This window comes from Homo sapiens, chromosome 11, assembly GCF_000001405.40.
Source record: "Homo sapiens chromosome 11, GRCh38.p14 Primary Assembly".
NCBI lineage: Eukaryota > Metazoa > Chordata > Mammalia > Primates > Hominidae > Homo > Homo sapiens.
This window is the reverse complement of record NC_000011.10, coordinates 112,167,336-112,182,760: the sequence shown is the minus strand read 5'-3', so window position 1 is coordinate 112,182,760 and position 15,425 is coordinate 112,167,336. Positions and strand designations below refer to the sequence as shown.

Sequence of the window (15,425 nt, the reverse complement as noted above, 5' to 3'; positions counted from 1 at the left end):
TCATCATTTACATTAGGTATATCTCCTAATTCTATCCCTCCGTGCTCCCCCCACCCCATGACAGGCCCCCCAGTGTGTGATGTTCCCCATCCTGTGTCCAAGTGTTCTCATTGTTCAATTCCCACCTATGAGTGAGAACATGCGGTATTTGGTTTTCTGTCCTTGCAATAGTTTGCTGAGAATGATAGTTTCCAGCTTCATCCATGTCCCTGCAAAGGACATGAACTCATCCTTTTTTATGGCTGCATAGTATTCCATGGTGTATATGTGCCACATTTTCTTAGTCCAGTCTATCATTGATGGACATTTGGGTTGGTTCCAAGACTTTGCTATTGTGAATAGTGCCACAATAAACATAGGTGTGCATGTGTCTTTATAGCAGCATGATTTATAGTCCTTTGGGTATATGCCCAGTAATGGGATGGCTGGGTCAAATGGTATTTCTAGTTCTAGATCCTTGAGGAATCGCCACACTGTCTTCCACAATGGTTGAACTAGTTTACAGTCCCACCAACAGTGTAAAAGTGTTCCTATTTCTCCACATCCTCTCCAGCACCTGTTGTTTCCTGACTTTTTAATGATCGCCATTCTAACTGGTGTGAGATGGTATCTCATTGTGGTTTTGATTTGCATTTCTCTGATGGCCAGTGATGATGAGCATTTTTTCATGTGTCTGGCTACATAAATGTCTTCTTTTGAGAAGTATCTGTTCGTATCCTTTGCCCACTTTTTGATGGGGTTGTTTGATTTTTTTCTTGTAAATTTGTTTAAGTTCTTTGTAGATTCTGGATATTAGCCCTTTGTCAGATGGGTAGATTGCAAAAATTTTCTCCCATTAACAGAGCATCTTGACTCCCTGGATATTTGCACAGTCAAGCACTGATCCAGAGAGATGAGCTCGTTCAAGATTTGAACAGCAAAGATTTGCATGTGCAAGATTACAGCAGCTTAAACTGGCCATTTTGAAGTGAATGTATCGAAGGTCCAAACAAGAAAGATCGGCACCACTGAAGTTCAAACCCTGGCATCACAGTTCTGACTTGGTTGGAGTTGCTAGTAAAAATCGGACAAATTCCTTTTGGGATATTGGTGAATGATCCTCCAGTGGTTGAGAATTCTTTATTGCCACTTTTAGGTGTTCAATGAGTCAATACCAAAAAATCTTGCTTCTTCTAACACACCTAATAAATTAATGCTATCATTTACAATGAGCTGTCCACGATGCAAGTAGTTCAAAATGGGTTCAAAGTACTCAGGACTTCGGTCAATTAAGAAAGCTCGGCCGGGCGCGGTGGCTCACGCCTGTAATCCCAGCACTTTGGGAGGCCGAGGCGGGCGGATCACGAGGTCAGGAGATCGAGACCATCCCAGCTAAAACGGTGAAACCCCGTCTCTACTAAAAATACAAAAAATTAGCCGGGCGTAGTGGCGGGCGCCTGTAGTCCCAGCTACTTGGGAGGCTGAGGCAGGAGAATGGCGTGAACCCGGGAGGCGGAGCTTGCAGTGAGCCGAGATCCCGCCACTGCACTCCAGCCTGGGCGACAGAGCGAGACTCCGTCTCAAAAAAAAAAAAAAAAAAAGAAAGCTCCTCTATCATCTTGCTTACTTCCCCAGACACCTTTGTCCTTAAACATGTGGGCCAGCATACTGTCAGGTTCTTTATTCACTAAAGTGCTCCGTGTAGTTGTAAAGTACCGCCCTCCAACATTTAATGTCAGCCACTCTGTGTGGAATCCTAACAATCCTTCAGGAGGCTTAGAATCTGTCTGAGGATCAATAAATGGCTCTCCTTCACAAACAAACAAAACATCATCATCCCTGTTCAAAGCAATATCATCAATCAGTCCACCTTTCCCATTATACACACTGGTGGCTTTTATGCCGAGTTTACTGCTGGCCACAGAAAGCAAATCAGATAAAGTTCCATATACAACAACTACCTTTCCGTTCTTGGGGCTGCCGTTCAGGAACAGGGTCATCCGCCTCATCACGCTGCCCCCACTGGGTCCTGAGTGGGCCACCACCCTCCCACCTGGTCCTCCTCCCACCTTTTTCTCCTCCCGCCCTTCCCCCCCTCCACCCACTTGGATTCGCCTCCCTTCGCCACCTTTCTGCCCTTGGGGACACACCACACACATGCACTCTGTCCCACACCCAGGGCTCAGCCAGTCCTCCTTCCCACCCTGCTTCTAGGCTCCTCAGCCTGCCTGGGTTTTTCATTTATTGGCATCGATTTATTGAATGCTATTCAGGTGCAGACCACTGTTACAGGTAGTGGGGATACAGGATGAACTAGAAAAAGTCTCTACCCTCATCAAATTACATTCTAGTGGGGGAACAGAGCTTAACACTCAAATAACAAATAAAAAATACCAGACACTGATAACACTGTGTAGAGAATTAAAATAGGTAATTATAATTAATACAGTCAGCCCTCCATATCCATATATTCCACATCTGTGGATTCAACCAATCTCTTGAGTCAAAAATATTGTGGGAAAAAAATGCCACAAAGTTCTGCAAAGCAAAACTTGAATTTGCTGAGTACTAAGACAAATCCATGGGAATGAAGTATGTGTAAGCATTGTATTAAGTATTATAGAGTAATTTAGAGATGATTTAAAAGATAATGGGAGGATATATGTAGGTTAAAAGCAAATAAAAGCATTTTATATAAGGGACTTCAGCATACTTGGATTCTGGTGTTTAGGGGGTCCTCTAACCAATGCCCTGTGAATGCTGAGGGATGACTGTGCTGGCATTTTTATGTTGGGAGATCAGGAAAGGCTCAAAGGACATGAGATTTGAGTTGACATCTGAATGAAAAGACCAGTCTTGGGAAGATTAGGGAACATAGGTGAGAGAACTAATGCTAAGATGCTGAGAAGATACAACTGTGCCCAGTTTGAGGAACTGAAAAAGACCATGTGTCTGGCAAGTGCTGGGTGAGGGAGAGAGTGGTATGAGGAGACATTGCCCTTCCTTCAGGAACTTGTGGGGAAACAGCTCAGTCACCACACTGACAGCTTCTGACACCTCTCTTCTTTTGGTACAAACCACAGAGGGCTTCAAATTTACAATAGTCTACAGAGCAGAAAAAGCAGGACATTTTGTTTAAAAAGTCTCCTTTCTTCTCCTCTAGGCTACAGTTTCTTTATCTGTAATCAAAGGGATGGAATGGAAATATTAACCTCACAGAGGAAGCAGATATTAATGCATATTCCACAGAACCAGCCCATGCCAAGAAATCCAAGTTGTTCTCCAAAATCAAGGCTTACTTATCCTTCCCAAACTCGAATTTCCCAGGTCCAATTCGAAGTAGAGAGCCATTGAGCCACTTAGGAAAATGTCCCCAGACTCGAGCAGAGATGCCCCGTGGAGCCTCTTCCACTGTGGTCAGCAGCGGTGCAACACATGGCAGACCCCGACACTGCCCAAAGACGGCTTTTTTCTGAGGAGTATTTCCCATGTACCTTTTGAAAACTGTGCAGAGGAAACCAAAAGCACAAAAAATATTTTACCAAATCTTCTATAAACTTGCCTGTTTCCCACAGACAATAATCTTATCAACTGGCAGCTTGAGGGAAACATAAACCTAACACCAAATACAGGCTCCAAATTTCTTCTCTCTCCTTCCTCATTCCCAGACTATCAACGCTTTGGTTCTCCATTTTCAACCCACAACAATTCTTCTATTTTTTGTAGTACTAATCTGCCTAAGAACTAACTTAGGACTACTAATCTGCCTAAGAACTAACTTAGGACTTCAATTACTATTTTTATCATTTCTCATAGTTGAACAATACCTGTCTTTTTACAAGAATAAATCTACATGCCAACCCCAGATGTGCTAAGAGCAACCTCGTTGTTATAAAAATGACCACCATTCAATATTATCCAATTATATTGACCCCAGTAATTTAGATATACCAGAATGTGATTCCAAAGACTTCATAGCGATTCCTGTGAATTTAATAAGATCTTAAATTTAATTCCTTTTATTTTAATGGCATATACATGAAAATACAAGGCATTTTCCAGTAGAAGGGTGTCAAAAATTAAATTATGCAGTGATATCCAGTCTGAAATTACCTAAAGTGCAAAAGGCACAAGAAGTAAAAATCATAGTTGTATAATAAGGAACTGAAACTTCTCCCTATTATTTTAACATTACTGAGTGTTCACAAGGCAGTACTGCCTAACATAGAGGGGTGGTCAAATAAATAATTAAGTGCTATAAAATAGAATTCTTTATCTCATAAAAGTTTAAGAGTGATTCAGAAATCTAGGCTAGAAAAATGAGCTAACATATAGGGACACTATTACTCTGAAGAAGTGAGATTTGCATTCTTTTAGCAAGTTGTTACTATCCCATTTCTTTCAAATCTTTCAAAAATTCAGCTTGAAGCACACGAGACATTCTACTCCCCTATATGACATGTAACAAATGAGTCAAACCTAATTCTTTACTGATTTTTCAAATAAAATTCTCTTTCACCCTGAATGTCTTTCCCAATGTCCTTTTCTCTAGTTCTAAGAAAATTCCAGCGGGGCACGGTGGTTCAAGTCTGTAATCCCAGCACTTTGGGAGGCCAAGGCAGGTGGATCACCTGAGGTCAGGAGTTCGAGACCTGTCTGGCCAACATAATGAAAGCCCATCTTTACTAAAAATACAAAAAAAAAAAATAGCCGGGTGTGTTGGCCGACCCCTGTAATCCCAGCTACTCAGGAGCTGAGGCAGGAGAATCGCATTGAACCCAGGAGACAAAGGTTGCAGTGAGCCGAGATCGCAGCACTGCACTCCAGCCTGGGCAACAAGAGCGAAACTTCGTCTCAAAAAAAAAAAAAAAAGCAAATTCCATTAATTGGTCAAGGTCTATCTCCAGTGTTACAGTACTTCCCTTAAGAGGCAGCACAGTGTAATATTTAAGGGTGTGAGCTGGGGCTCTACCTGGCTCCAGACTGGTTGGTTTCAAATATGCCCTCTCCTAAATAAGAAGGCTTGAGAAAGGCACTTATCACCTCTCTGTGGTCTGTTTCCTCTTTTCTAAGATGGTGATGATGATAATTCATATTACTTCTAAGGCTATAAGTAATAAATGAGTTAGTTTATGTAAAGCTTTTAGAACAGAATACTCAAAAAATGCTATTATTATATTTACATAGCTTTTAATGATCAGTCCAATAAGGTGTAATATCTCCTTTATTTTATTCAGTTGACGAAGTACTTGGTACTGCTGAGAATAAAAAGCATTAGAATCCTGAAATAAAAGAACTGACTGCCTAGTAAACAGATCACTGACACTGTGTTTTATTTCAGCATTGTTTCTCAGAGTCTGGTATGAGGACTACTTGCAACAGAAATACCTGGTGTTACTGCTAAAATGCAGTTTCCTGGACTCCATTCTGGTCCTAATAAATCAGAATCTCTGGGGAAGGACAAGCAGGTATTCTTAAGCATACTAAAATCTGGGAACTACAGTATCAGAAGTACAAAGAGGATGCTTTGAAAAGATAGAGAAGGAAACTCTCAGGTATTTATGTTACTCTACTTTTATTAACATTATGCACCATTTATCTTATTCTCAGATTAAAATAAATTCCCTAAGGTCAGGTATGTAATTTTACTCATCTTACTTTTTTAAGTAAATTGAATGGCCTGATTGGGCATTTGTCTAAGTAGAGATACACAAATTTAAAGCATTTTACATTGTAGAAAATATTTACATGTCTATATGTTGTATACTCTATTGCATGCTACTGGTAATCTGCTACATGCTCTTCAAAGTTTCCATAGAATTTGACATTAACACTTTCTTAAACTCCTTTCTATTCGTAGCTTCTGAGACATTGTCCTATTCTAACTTTCCTGCTGCCCTATAACTACTCTCTGCATTCTGCTAGTTTTATTACTTATTAGCTGACAACCTTGGGCAAGTTACTTAATGTCTCTGAGCCTCAGGTTTTTCCATGATAAAATGGAAATAAAAGGAGGTTAATACTTCCTGTTTATGTCTGTTGTCATAATCAAATATAAAGATAGTGGATGCTTTCCAAATGTTAATTCCCTTTATGGGCTCCTTATCCCCCTTACCACTTCATGAATGTTCCTAAGGTCCTACCTTGGATCTTTAATCTCAGCACTCTCCCTTGGCAATCTCATCTAGTCTCTTAATTTCATCAATTACTTCTTGCAGGTGACTTTCAACATGTCAAAATAGAATGTTTAATTCCCCCCCCCCCGCCAATCAATTTTCTTCATCTAGGATATTTCCCAACTCCTTCAGATGAAATTTACTCACCTAACTCATCCTTCAAGATCCAGTTGCCATGTCATTTGCTTTATAAACACAGCATTCCCCTTACCTACAGCAAGAACTGATTCTCCTTAGTCTGAACTCACAGCATCTGTTTATAGCTCTCATATGGACCTTATCTTATCTGTCTTGTATGATAAATGATACTACCAGTACTCCTTGAGTACAGGGTCTGGTGTTTGTCTCCTCTCTCCTTCCAGTACGTAATACATTCCCTTGCATACTGCAAACATTAAATTACTACATTAAGTAATTTTAAAATTTATAGTGCATATTAGTATGATTTCTGAAAGCTCTAGATCAGCCAATTTCTATACATAAAATCATGTAACAATGGTAACTATAATAGAAGGCTATAAAACATAAATGAGTTTTAAGGCAGTCCCCGCAAAATGCAAATAGAGAAACCAAACAATTACATTAGAACGTGTGGCAGTGATTTTTCAATTTAGAAAAGCCTAAATATTGAATATTCTTCTTATTGCAAATCCCAAAGAATACCAAGTCCCTGAATCCTGCCTTAAATATTGCATAAAATATACAAATGTGAAGGCTGTTTCCCTGACCATGAGGAAACAATCCTAACTCAGCCTTCTTTAACTTCCAGGACTCTGCGGAATTGCTATCTCATCTGAGCCACACAGGACACAAAGCTTCAGAAGCTCCCAGCAACCTTCAGGAAAGAGGCACAGAATTCTAAGCGCAGACTGGCAAGAAGAGGAGGATGAGGAAGAGAAAGGGGCAAACCCTCTACCTGGGAGCCGGTGCACCATCACAGGAAGGAAATCCACTGCAGTGGCAGAATGACTCCTGATAAAATGGAGAAAGACTCGAAAAAACATTTTTGTATTGAGCAGATCCAGTGATTTCCAAATCCTCTCACACTGGCAGTTTTGAGTACTACTAAACAGTGAACACGCACAGAACTGCCTGGACTGTCCCTCCCTCACTGACAGGTCAAAGAGAGGACGCAGCTTAAGGGGCGGGGCTTATTTCCATGACAACCGTCCAAACACCCTAGCTATAATACGCAGCTGTTTGAAATATTAAAATTAGACCACCAATAGTGGTCTCCCCCGCCCTAAACTTTTCTTTTTCAAACCTGTTCTCACACTACAGTTAAGTCCGTTTATCCTGATGCACAGCATCAATTTTTTTATGCCACTCCTCTTCTGGAAGATTCCGACACAGAATAAAGTCCGAATTTAGACTGCCACTAGAGGACGCTACAATCTGGCAACAATTTACCTTTCATCCTTTTTCTCTGCCTTTAAATCACTTCATCCTTCCTTTTCTTTTCTATTCATTAATTTTACAGAACATTTTCTGACAATCTAGCATGAGTGAAAGTATGCCCTTAAAATGTATATGACTTTATTAACATTTTTAGCACCAATGTAGCAAATACTGTGCTACAAAGTAAGAATACCAAGAAACAAGATTGTCCCTGCTCTCCAGTTTAGACCATACACTATTCCCCTTCATGAATTATCATCCCAGCAAAGTGACTAACATACCATGATACGTTTGTTCTTCTGTGCCACTGAAGAAACTTTTCCCCTGCCTGAAATATCCCCTTTCCTTTTCAAAAATCCAATTTAAAATCTACCTCTCTGACTCCCTTACCAAAAGGTCTTCTAGTAACTCCCACAGCACTGCCACAGAGTTGCTTTTAACATTAACATATCATGTTTTCCTAGCAAAATTGTATTTCAAGAAAGAAGTGGTTAAAATTGTCAGAAGGGAGTGTCTTAATACATATAGCAGAGTACGAAGATAGTTCGGTATATATTTTGATTAGTAATCAATGAAAAATAACTTATAAATTTGTGATATTTTATTGAAATAGTAAAGAGTAACATTAGAAGTGTAAATTAAAGGGCAATAGTATTCCTGCAATAGCATTTCTCCAGTTGTGAGATAATAATAATTATTATTATTTTCTGAGACAGAGTCTCACTCTGTCACCCAGGCTGGAGTAGAGTGGCACAATCTCGGTTCACTGCAACCTCTGTGTCCCGGGTTCAAGTGATTCTCCTATCTCAGCCTCCTGAGTAGCTGGGACTACAGGTGTACGCCACCATACCCAGCTACTTTTTTTAATTTTTATTAGAGACAGGGTTTTGCCACGTTGGCCAGGCTGGTCTCGAACTCTTGACCTCAAGTGATCTGCCTGCCTCAGCCTTTCAAACTGCTGGGATTACAGGTGTGAGCCACCATGCCTGGCCAAGATAATTACTCTTGTCTACGTGGATGGTACCAAAGCCATCCAAATTTGATTTAAAAAATAAGCCTTCGACACCCAAGAATGATCAATAAAAAAATAAATAAATAAGCCTTCATGATTAGGCTTTCAGGCACCTTTATACTACAAGGTATAACAATTCTGAACAGTGCTGAACAGTAAACACATTGTGACTTAAAATCAGTTCTCCAGTCTTAATCATATCAAATGAAATGATCAAATCAATTTACTGAACCTGCAAAGGGAAGAACTAGATGTTAAACAATGGTGATACCATCAGGATATAACAAGTATATTATGAAATCTAGTCTCAAACAATCTGTTGGCCTTATTTTTCATATTAGTAATAAATGCTTAGAAAAAGAACATTTCTTAATGATGGTAGGTCGAAATCCAGATGACATGTCGTATTAACTCACAAATCTTCTTGTTGTATTTAGTTTTAAAAAATTTCCTTTTGGCCGGGCGAGTGGCTCATGCCTGTAATCTCAGCATTTTGGGAGGCTGAGGTGGGTGGGTCACCTGAGGTCAGGAGTTCGAGACCAGCCTGGCCAACATGGCAAAACCCCGTCTCTACTAAAAATACAAAAATTAGCCGGGTGTGGTGGCAGGCGCCTGTAATCCCAGCTACTCAGGAGGCCGAGGCAGGAGAATCACTTGAACCCAAGAGGCAAAGGTTGTAGTGAGCCAAGATCGCACCACTGCACTTCAGCCTAGGTAACAGAGCAAGATTCTGTCTCAAAAAAAAAAAGCAAAGGAAAGAAAGAAAAAATTGAAAAAATTTCCTTTCCTTCTTTTTTTAGAGAGAGTGTCACTCTGTCACCCAGGCTAGAGTGCAGTGATGCAATCATAGCTCACGGCAGCTTCGGATTCCTGGGCTCAAGCCATCCTCCCACTTCAGTCTCTCAAGTAGCTAGGATTAGAAATGGGAGCCACTGCAAGTGGCAAAAAAGAAAAAAATTCATTTCTAATAATTACTTTGTTGACCTCCAACCTATTCTGTGCCACCACCTCTATCAACCCAATAATTTTTTCCACTTAACCAATTTTCTTTAGCAAGTATTATTTTATTTCACTTTTGTCATCTTTTCTTATATGAGTATTTACATCATGTGGTGTTTATGCCTTAAAATAGTAATGTGATAAAATGAGATTTTATTTTAGAGTTTAGAAGGCAGCAAGGCAAATGTGCAGTCTCCCTTAGGAATAACAATTCCCTGTAGTACTATTTGCAATTTTCTGACTGCTTATATTGGAAAAATATACATGTAATAAACTGAACTGCCTATATGATTGAAAAATGGGTGCTATTTTGTTTAAAAATCTGGTTAATATAGCTATCCCATATAGTAATATATAACATAGAAAGTTTTCAGTAAAATCATAGCAGTACTTCACATTAAAGGGATAATTTTTTTAGCTAGATGAGTAGTATAGATCCTCCAGTCCAAATTCAATTTCTCAATTATAATACGATTGAAGTGACCTCCCAAAGTCATCTTGTTGTTTAAGCCAATCTATTTACTTCTGGATCACTAATCTTTATCCCATACCACACTGCTGCTAATGTTTCTAAATATAATTCATTAACTGCACATGTTGATGTGGTTGATGTGTAAAAAAGCCAACTCATACAAGGTTCTGGTGAGTAATTTCTGGTTTTTATTTTACTACTTTTACCACAAGAAAATAATTTTAAGCCGAGAGCTTTTATTAGTCATACATAATAACTAATAGTGAAAATAATCAAATGGAAATAGCACACAGTTATGTCATTATATTCTAAGAAACTGGAAAAATCACCTCTAAGGTTTTAATCTTCTTTTATAATCCTGACCATAAAAAAAATTTCAAAATTATCTCCAAAACTATCTGATATTTAAACAAAATATTCTAAAAGTATAATATTATTAAACATTATAAATTAACTGAATCCTTTTTTAGAAGTTTCAGAAACACTAAGAAGTTTAAGGAAAAAATAAAAGAATCCACATAAGATTTAAATAATTTACACTTCTATAAAATGCACTAAATATTTGACCCTCAAAAGAAAAGTGACGTAGTTCATGTTAATGGCCAGCTTAGGACATTAACATGAACATTAATATTAACATTAAGGAATTTAAAAGTTCCTTTTTAAACCTAGAAATTCAAGGAGTTTCCCCTTCTCTATTCGAGATATACATTTTCTTTAACAACTCGAGAGCTTTCAAAGCATAAATGTCATTCTTTCATTATAACAATAATAGGTTTAAATTCTCAGCTTATTTCAAGTATATATTTTATCTGTGTAATGTGTTTGCAATCACTGTAAACCTCTGTCGCAGGAACTCTCTTTTTTGTATTAGAAAGTTTTCAATAGCATTGGCTTCTTTGAAGAGTTCATCTATCTCATCAATGTAAGATGCATCTACTGCTGCTCTCTCACTAATAGGAAAAAAAGTTGTATATTAAACTAAGTAGATATAAACAACATCATTATGTTGTTCTTCATTACACAATATTTGTTAACTATTTCATTTAAATGGCTTTATGTGCCACAGAACTTCATTAATTTACTAATACTCTTCAGAAAAAAAAATTAGTCCCACAAATATTTTTGACTACTCAAAAAGGTCTCCTGACACAACAGGAAGTGTATCTTATACATTATAACACTAATATTCAATTACATACATTATTTTTACAGCCACACAAACCACTATCCAAGTATAATGACTGTCCGGCAGTGTAAAAAAAACACTTCATAAAACATATTAGGCTAATAAAGTATTTAAATTTGGTCTTAAAATAGATATAGGTAAAATATAAATACAGTCATCCCTCAGTATCCATGGGGTATTGGTTCCAGAATCCCCCACAGATACCAAAGGAACATCCCTCATAGATATTCAAGTCCCTTATATAAAATGCCATAGTATTTGCATATAACCTAAGAACATTCTGCCATATAATTTAAATTATCTCTTGATTACTTATAAGACCAATACCATGTAAATGCTATGTAAACAGTTGTTATACTGTATTGTTTGAAAAATAATGACAAGAAAAAAATGTCTGTACATGTTCAGTACAGACACAACCACCCTTTTTTTCCAAATATTTTCAATGTGTGGTTGATTGAATCCACAGATTCAGAATTCATGGATATGAAAGGCTGACTCTCTATGACATAAATATTTATCTTTAATATCAGTCTGTTATCATTAATTTCATCAAACATTTTTCTCAAAGAGGTATTTACATAAAATTTAAAATGTAATGTCATCTAATTACAGACCAAGATATATACAGTCTAGTATTAGCTTGGCAAGAGTAAAAAAGAAAGGATTTTTAGTGGAAAAGTTGACGCTATTCCCTGAAAATAACCAACTAATCTATTATAAGGGACTGAGGTAGAATAAAAAATTCCAAAGTTTTAATTACTGGAGAGGTTTGGCAGCCACAGAATTAAACTTCCCAATACAGAGTTTCCAGAAGAAAACTAACATAAAGACCCCAGAGAATATACTATAAGTACTTGCCTTAAAAGCTTTGCATAGGTAGACAACATTAGATTAATTTCCTTGCTCACATCTGTTCAAGAAAAATCATTTAAGTTATAAAATATAACAAACCTTCTGCATTATAAGACTGATGTTTAGAAATATAAACATTTTATACATCACCATTTAAATCTTTCTCCAAGGCTTCATCTTTATAAAATAGTCCGGAAATTTCAGAGAAAGATGAATCTGATTTTCCAAGAGAGGACAGCTGTGGACTATCTGGCACTGGAGACTAACAGGACAAAATAAAGAAAACAGGTACAGTCAATAAGATCTTCAGGACATATACATTTTGTTTATTAAGAAAAAGCAAATAAAACATTTTTCAGAAAAAGGCAAACATGCTAGAAAGCATATGACTTAGTCATTTGAGTTTTTATTATTAAGGAAATTTACAGGCCCAAGAAACACCTTGCTCAATATATTAAATTTTATTTTGGTTTTCAACTAGACTTTGCTTTTCATTTGTTTGTTTTTGTGACAAGTTCTCGCTCTGTCACCTAGGCCAAAGTGTAGTGACACAATCTTAGCTCACTGTAGCCTCCTAGATTCAAGTGATCCTCCTGTCTCAGACTCCTGAGTAGCTAGGACTACAGGAACATTCCACCATGCCCAGCTAATTTTGTTTTGTTTTGTTTTGTTTTCAGAGACAATGTATTGCAGTGTTGCCCAGGCTGATCTGAAACTCTTAGCCTCAAACGATACTCCTGCCTCAGCCTCCCAAAGCACTAGGATTACAGACATGAGCCAATGCGCCCAGCCTTAAATTAGACTTTAAATGTGGTTTTAAACTCCTGTTGAAAAAGCGTCTGGTATCTTGAACCAGTAGATGTTTTCATAGCAATGAAGCTAAACTGTAATTTAGACAGTAGCCAAATGCTTGTGAAATTTTGCTAAATAATATAATCTTCAAGGGAGCAAATCATGTCCCAAATGCAAAAGATCAACTGGTGGGGGCAGTAGTAAAAGACAGGATACTGTGCTCTTTAAAAAGATCAGTAACTATAGTACCTAGTTATCTTACTTATCACAGCAAAATAATTACATAAAATCCTATGGATCATAAAGGCACAGACTCACTTCTGTCTCTAGATCTCAAGCTACCAAAAAGAAATCTCCCAATAGTTTCTTGGAGGCCTATACTTAGTGAAAAAGCAGCTGGAATCAACATAGTTCCTCCTATGTTGTAGGACAATCCTAGCTCTGGGCATACGAATACATTAAATCCCACTTATCTATAGAGCTTTCTTAAAGGGAAGAAATTTGAGTAGTATGTAAAACAGAATAAAAGATTAAGGCTCCATAGGCATACAGCTTACCTCCAATTCTCTTGGCCTCTTGCAATTTCTATTATCAGGCTTTACAAGGTGATTTGCCATCATATTCCGAAGGCACCAGCTACAAAGCTTAGAACAATGCCAGATTTAGGTACAAACTCCATGCTACAAGCTCTCTGGAATCCTTCCCTGTTTCCCACTCCTACTGCTGATGTTAATTTAGACTGTCATTATCTGTCACTTTCCTAAACTCAATTTCTCCCTCCTCTAAATCATTCTATCAACTGCTATTTGGGTAATCTTTCAAAACTTTGATTACTGCATTCCTTTAACTCAAAAACTTTCATTGTTCCAGAATAAGTTGAAATTCCATGATATGGCCTTCAAGGTCCTGTATTATCTGGTGCAAGCCTACTAGTCCCATCATTTTCAACTACTCCTCTCTATGTACTTAGCCAAATGAGTCTCTCTGGCAATTCTGCCTTGTTTCAGGACTGGCTCAGTTAAGATTCTTTTATCTTCGGCCGGGCGCGCTGGCTCACGGCTGTAATCCCAGCACTTTGGGAAGCTGAGGCAGGAAGATCACCTGAGGTCGGGAGTTCGAGACCAGCCTGGCCAGCATGGTGAAACCCTGTGTCTACTAAAAATCCAAACATTAGCCAGGCGTGGTGGCAGGCGCCTGTAATCCCAGCTACTTGGGAAGCTGAGGTGAGAGAATCGCTTGAACCCAGGAGAGGGAGGTTGCAGTGAGCCGAGATTGTGCCATTGCACTCCAGCCTGGGCAACAGAGCGAGACTCCACCTCAAAAAAAAAAAAAGGATTCTTCTATCTTCACAAAATCTTAATGTTTAAACAGGTCTTACAGTTCATCTAATTCAATCTCATTTTTTACAAGTGAGAAAACAGGGACAGTGACGGTGGATCAAGTGACACCAGTAAGACTGAGCTAAATTAGAACCGAGATCTCACTCGAGTCTGAGGTTATTCCCACTGTCCAACCTTACTTTAAAGTAGCTTCAAATTTTACTTTTACTTTTCCATAAATTCGGAAGGGATTTTCCCTAGGAGTCCAAATGTTGAAACCTGGAAGGGTATAGTCTCTGTGTCTTTGAGATGAGGGGAGCCCTGTCCATATTCAAGTTATCAATTGACTTTGTTGTTTTTGAGAAACGATGCTGATTTGGGTAACTTTAACACATCTGTTTGATTAGTCCTATAAAATATGCATATATAGAAGACAGAAAGAGCAACAACAAATTTGAATGATGCTTGTTAAGTAAATTCTGTATCGTACGTCTCCATTCCTGCCAGTACCTTTATAGTATGTAAGTTTACGTGCTGTAATAGTATTAATAGTATCTAGAAAATACTACACATGCACAGCAGTGCTAACTTTGCCTTGGGAGTTGGAAAATACTTCAGAGAAGCCAACAGGCAGATTTTTCTCTCTTCCCTTCCCCTTCTAATTTTCCCTTTCCCCTTCACCCCCTTCTCTTCTCTCCCCAAGTAACACTGTGCACCTATGTCAAACGAAAACTTATAATCAAGTAACTGTTTCTGCAAAAATAAGTTCGTTTTCCTGTCATGGCTCAAGGCCTCAGCAGATCCAGGCCTGGTGGACGGGCTGGTCTTCGTCGTGTGCCAAACACTGACCACTGCCCTGGCTCTGCCATCTTAGGCTTAGTGACCTGGCTGTTACTAAGCACTGTCCCCTCTGCCCCATGCAGCTGTCTCCTTCTAGTCTTCTCCCTCTTCTCAACGCGATCCTAGCCCCTCAGGCCATTTCACCTCCATTTTCCCTCACTTCCCGCCGCCCCTCCGCACTTCCTCCCTACTGTTGTTTCCGCCCCACTAGAGCCCCTCAGAGGAAGTTTCCATCCTCGCACCCTTCCTTGTGTCACAGTCCGTCACATTCTCACAGGCGCCCATCCCTCCAGCCCCACCCCAAGGCCAATGTACTTCGCGGTATGGGGACCTTCCTCGTCAGCGAACGCGAGGGAGTGAAGACCCCGGGCGCGGGGTGCTCGGACTTCGGGGG

General features: G+C 38.8%; 2 protein-coding genes and 1 pseudogene across 6 annotated transcripts in view, besides 1 other annotated feature; all 3 read right to left on the bottom strand.

The window, feature by feature from the left end:
* Window positions 1-7,249, bottom strand: part of BCO2 (beta-carotene oxygenase 2) — a 43,435-nt gene extending 36,186 nt beyond the window's left edge. For 2 of the 5 annotated variants that reach the window (NM_031938.7, NM_001256398.3), the window contains exons 1-2: window positions 7,072-7,249; window positions 3,279-3,483 (exon numbers count right to left, since the gene is read on the bottom strand). In NM_031938.7, the coding sequence (NP_114144.5) occupies window positions 3,279-3,483; window positions 7,072-7,159 (293 nt within the window). In that variant the 5' untranslated portion in view covers window positions 7,160-7,249. Of the gene's footprint in view, window positions 1-3,278; window positions 3,484-6,302; window positions 6,396-7,071 lie in introns of those variants that run through there. The other 3 variants (NM_001037290.4, NM_001256397.3, NM_001256400.3) reach the window with 2 other exon arrangements.
* Window positions 834-2,174, bottom strand: KCTD9P4 (potassium channel tetramerization domain containing 9 pseudogene 4; annotated as a pseudogene).
* Window positions 4,722-4,888: a silencer, noted in NCBI's record as "fragment chr11:112048596-112048762 (GRCh37/hg19 assembly coordinates)". NCBI's record gives its function as "represses an EF-1alpha promoter that drives an FKBP-Casp9 reporter gene in an ReSE screen in K562 erythroleukemia cells {active_cell/tissue: K562}" and the evidence as "EXISTENCE:reporter gene assay evidence [ECO:0000049][PMID:32094911]".
* Window positions 7,250-10,204: 2,955 nt separating the features above from the next.
* Window positions 10,205-15,389, bottom strand: TEX12 (testis expressed 12). Its single transcript, NM_031275.4, has 5 exons — window positions 15,274-15,389; window positions 13,430-13,508; window positions 12,231-12,342; window positions 12,087-12,138; window positions 10,205-10,989 (listed from the first exon to the last, which is right to left on the bottom strand). Exons 2-5 carry the CDS (start codon window positions 13,490-13,492, stop codon window positions 10,845-10,847), a joined length of 372 nt encoding a protein of 123 aa, NP_112565.1. The 5' UTR covers window positions 13,493-13,508; window positions 15,274-15,389; the 3' UTR covers window positions 10,205-10,844.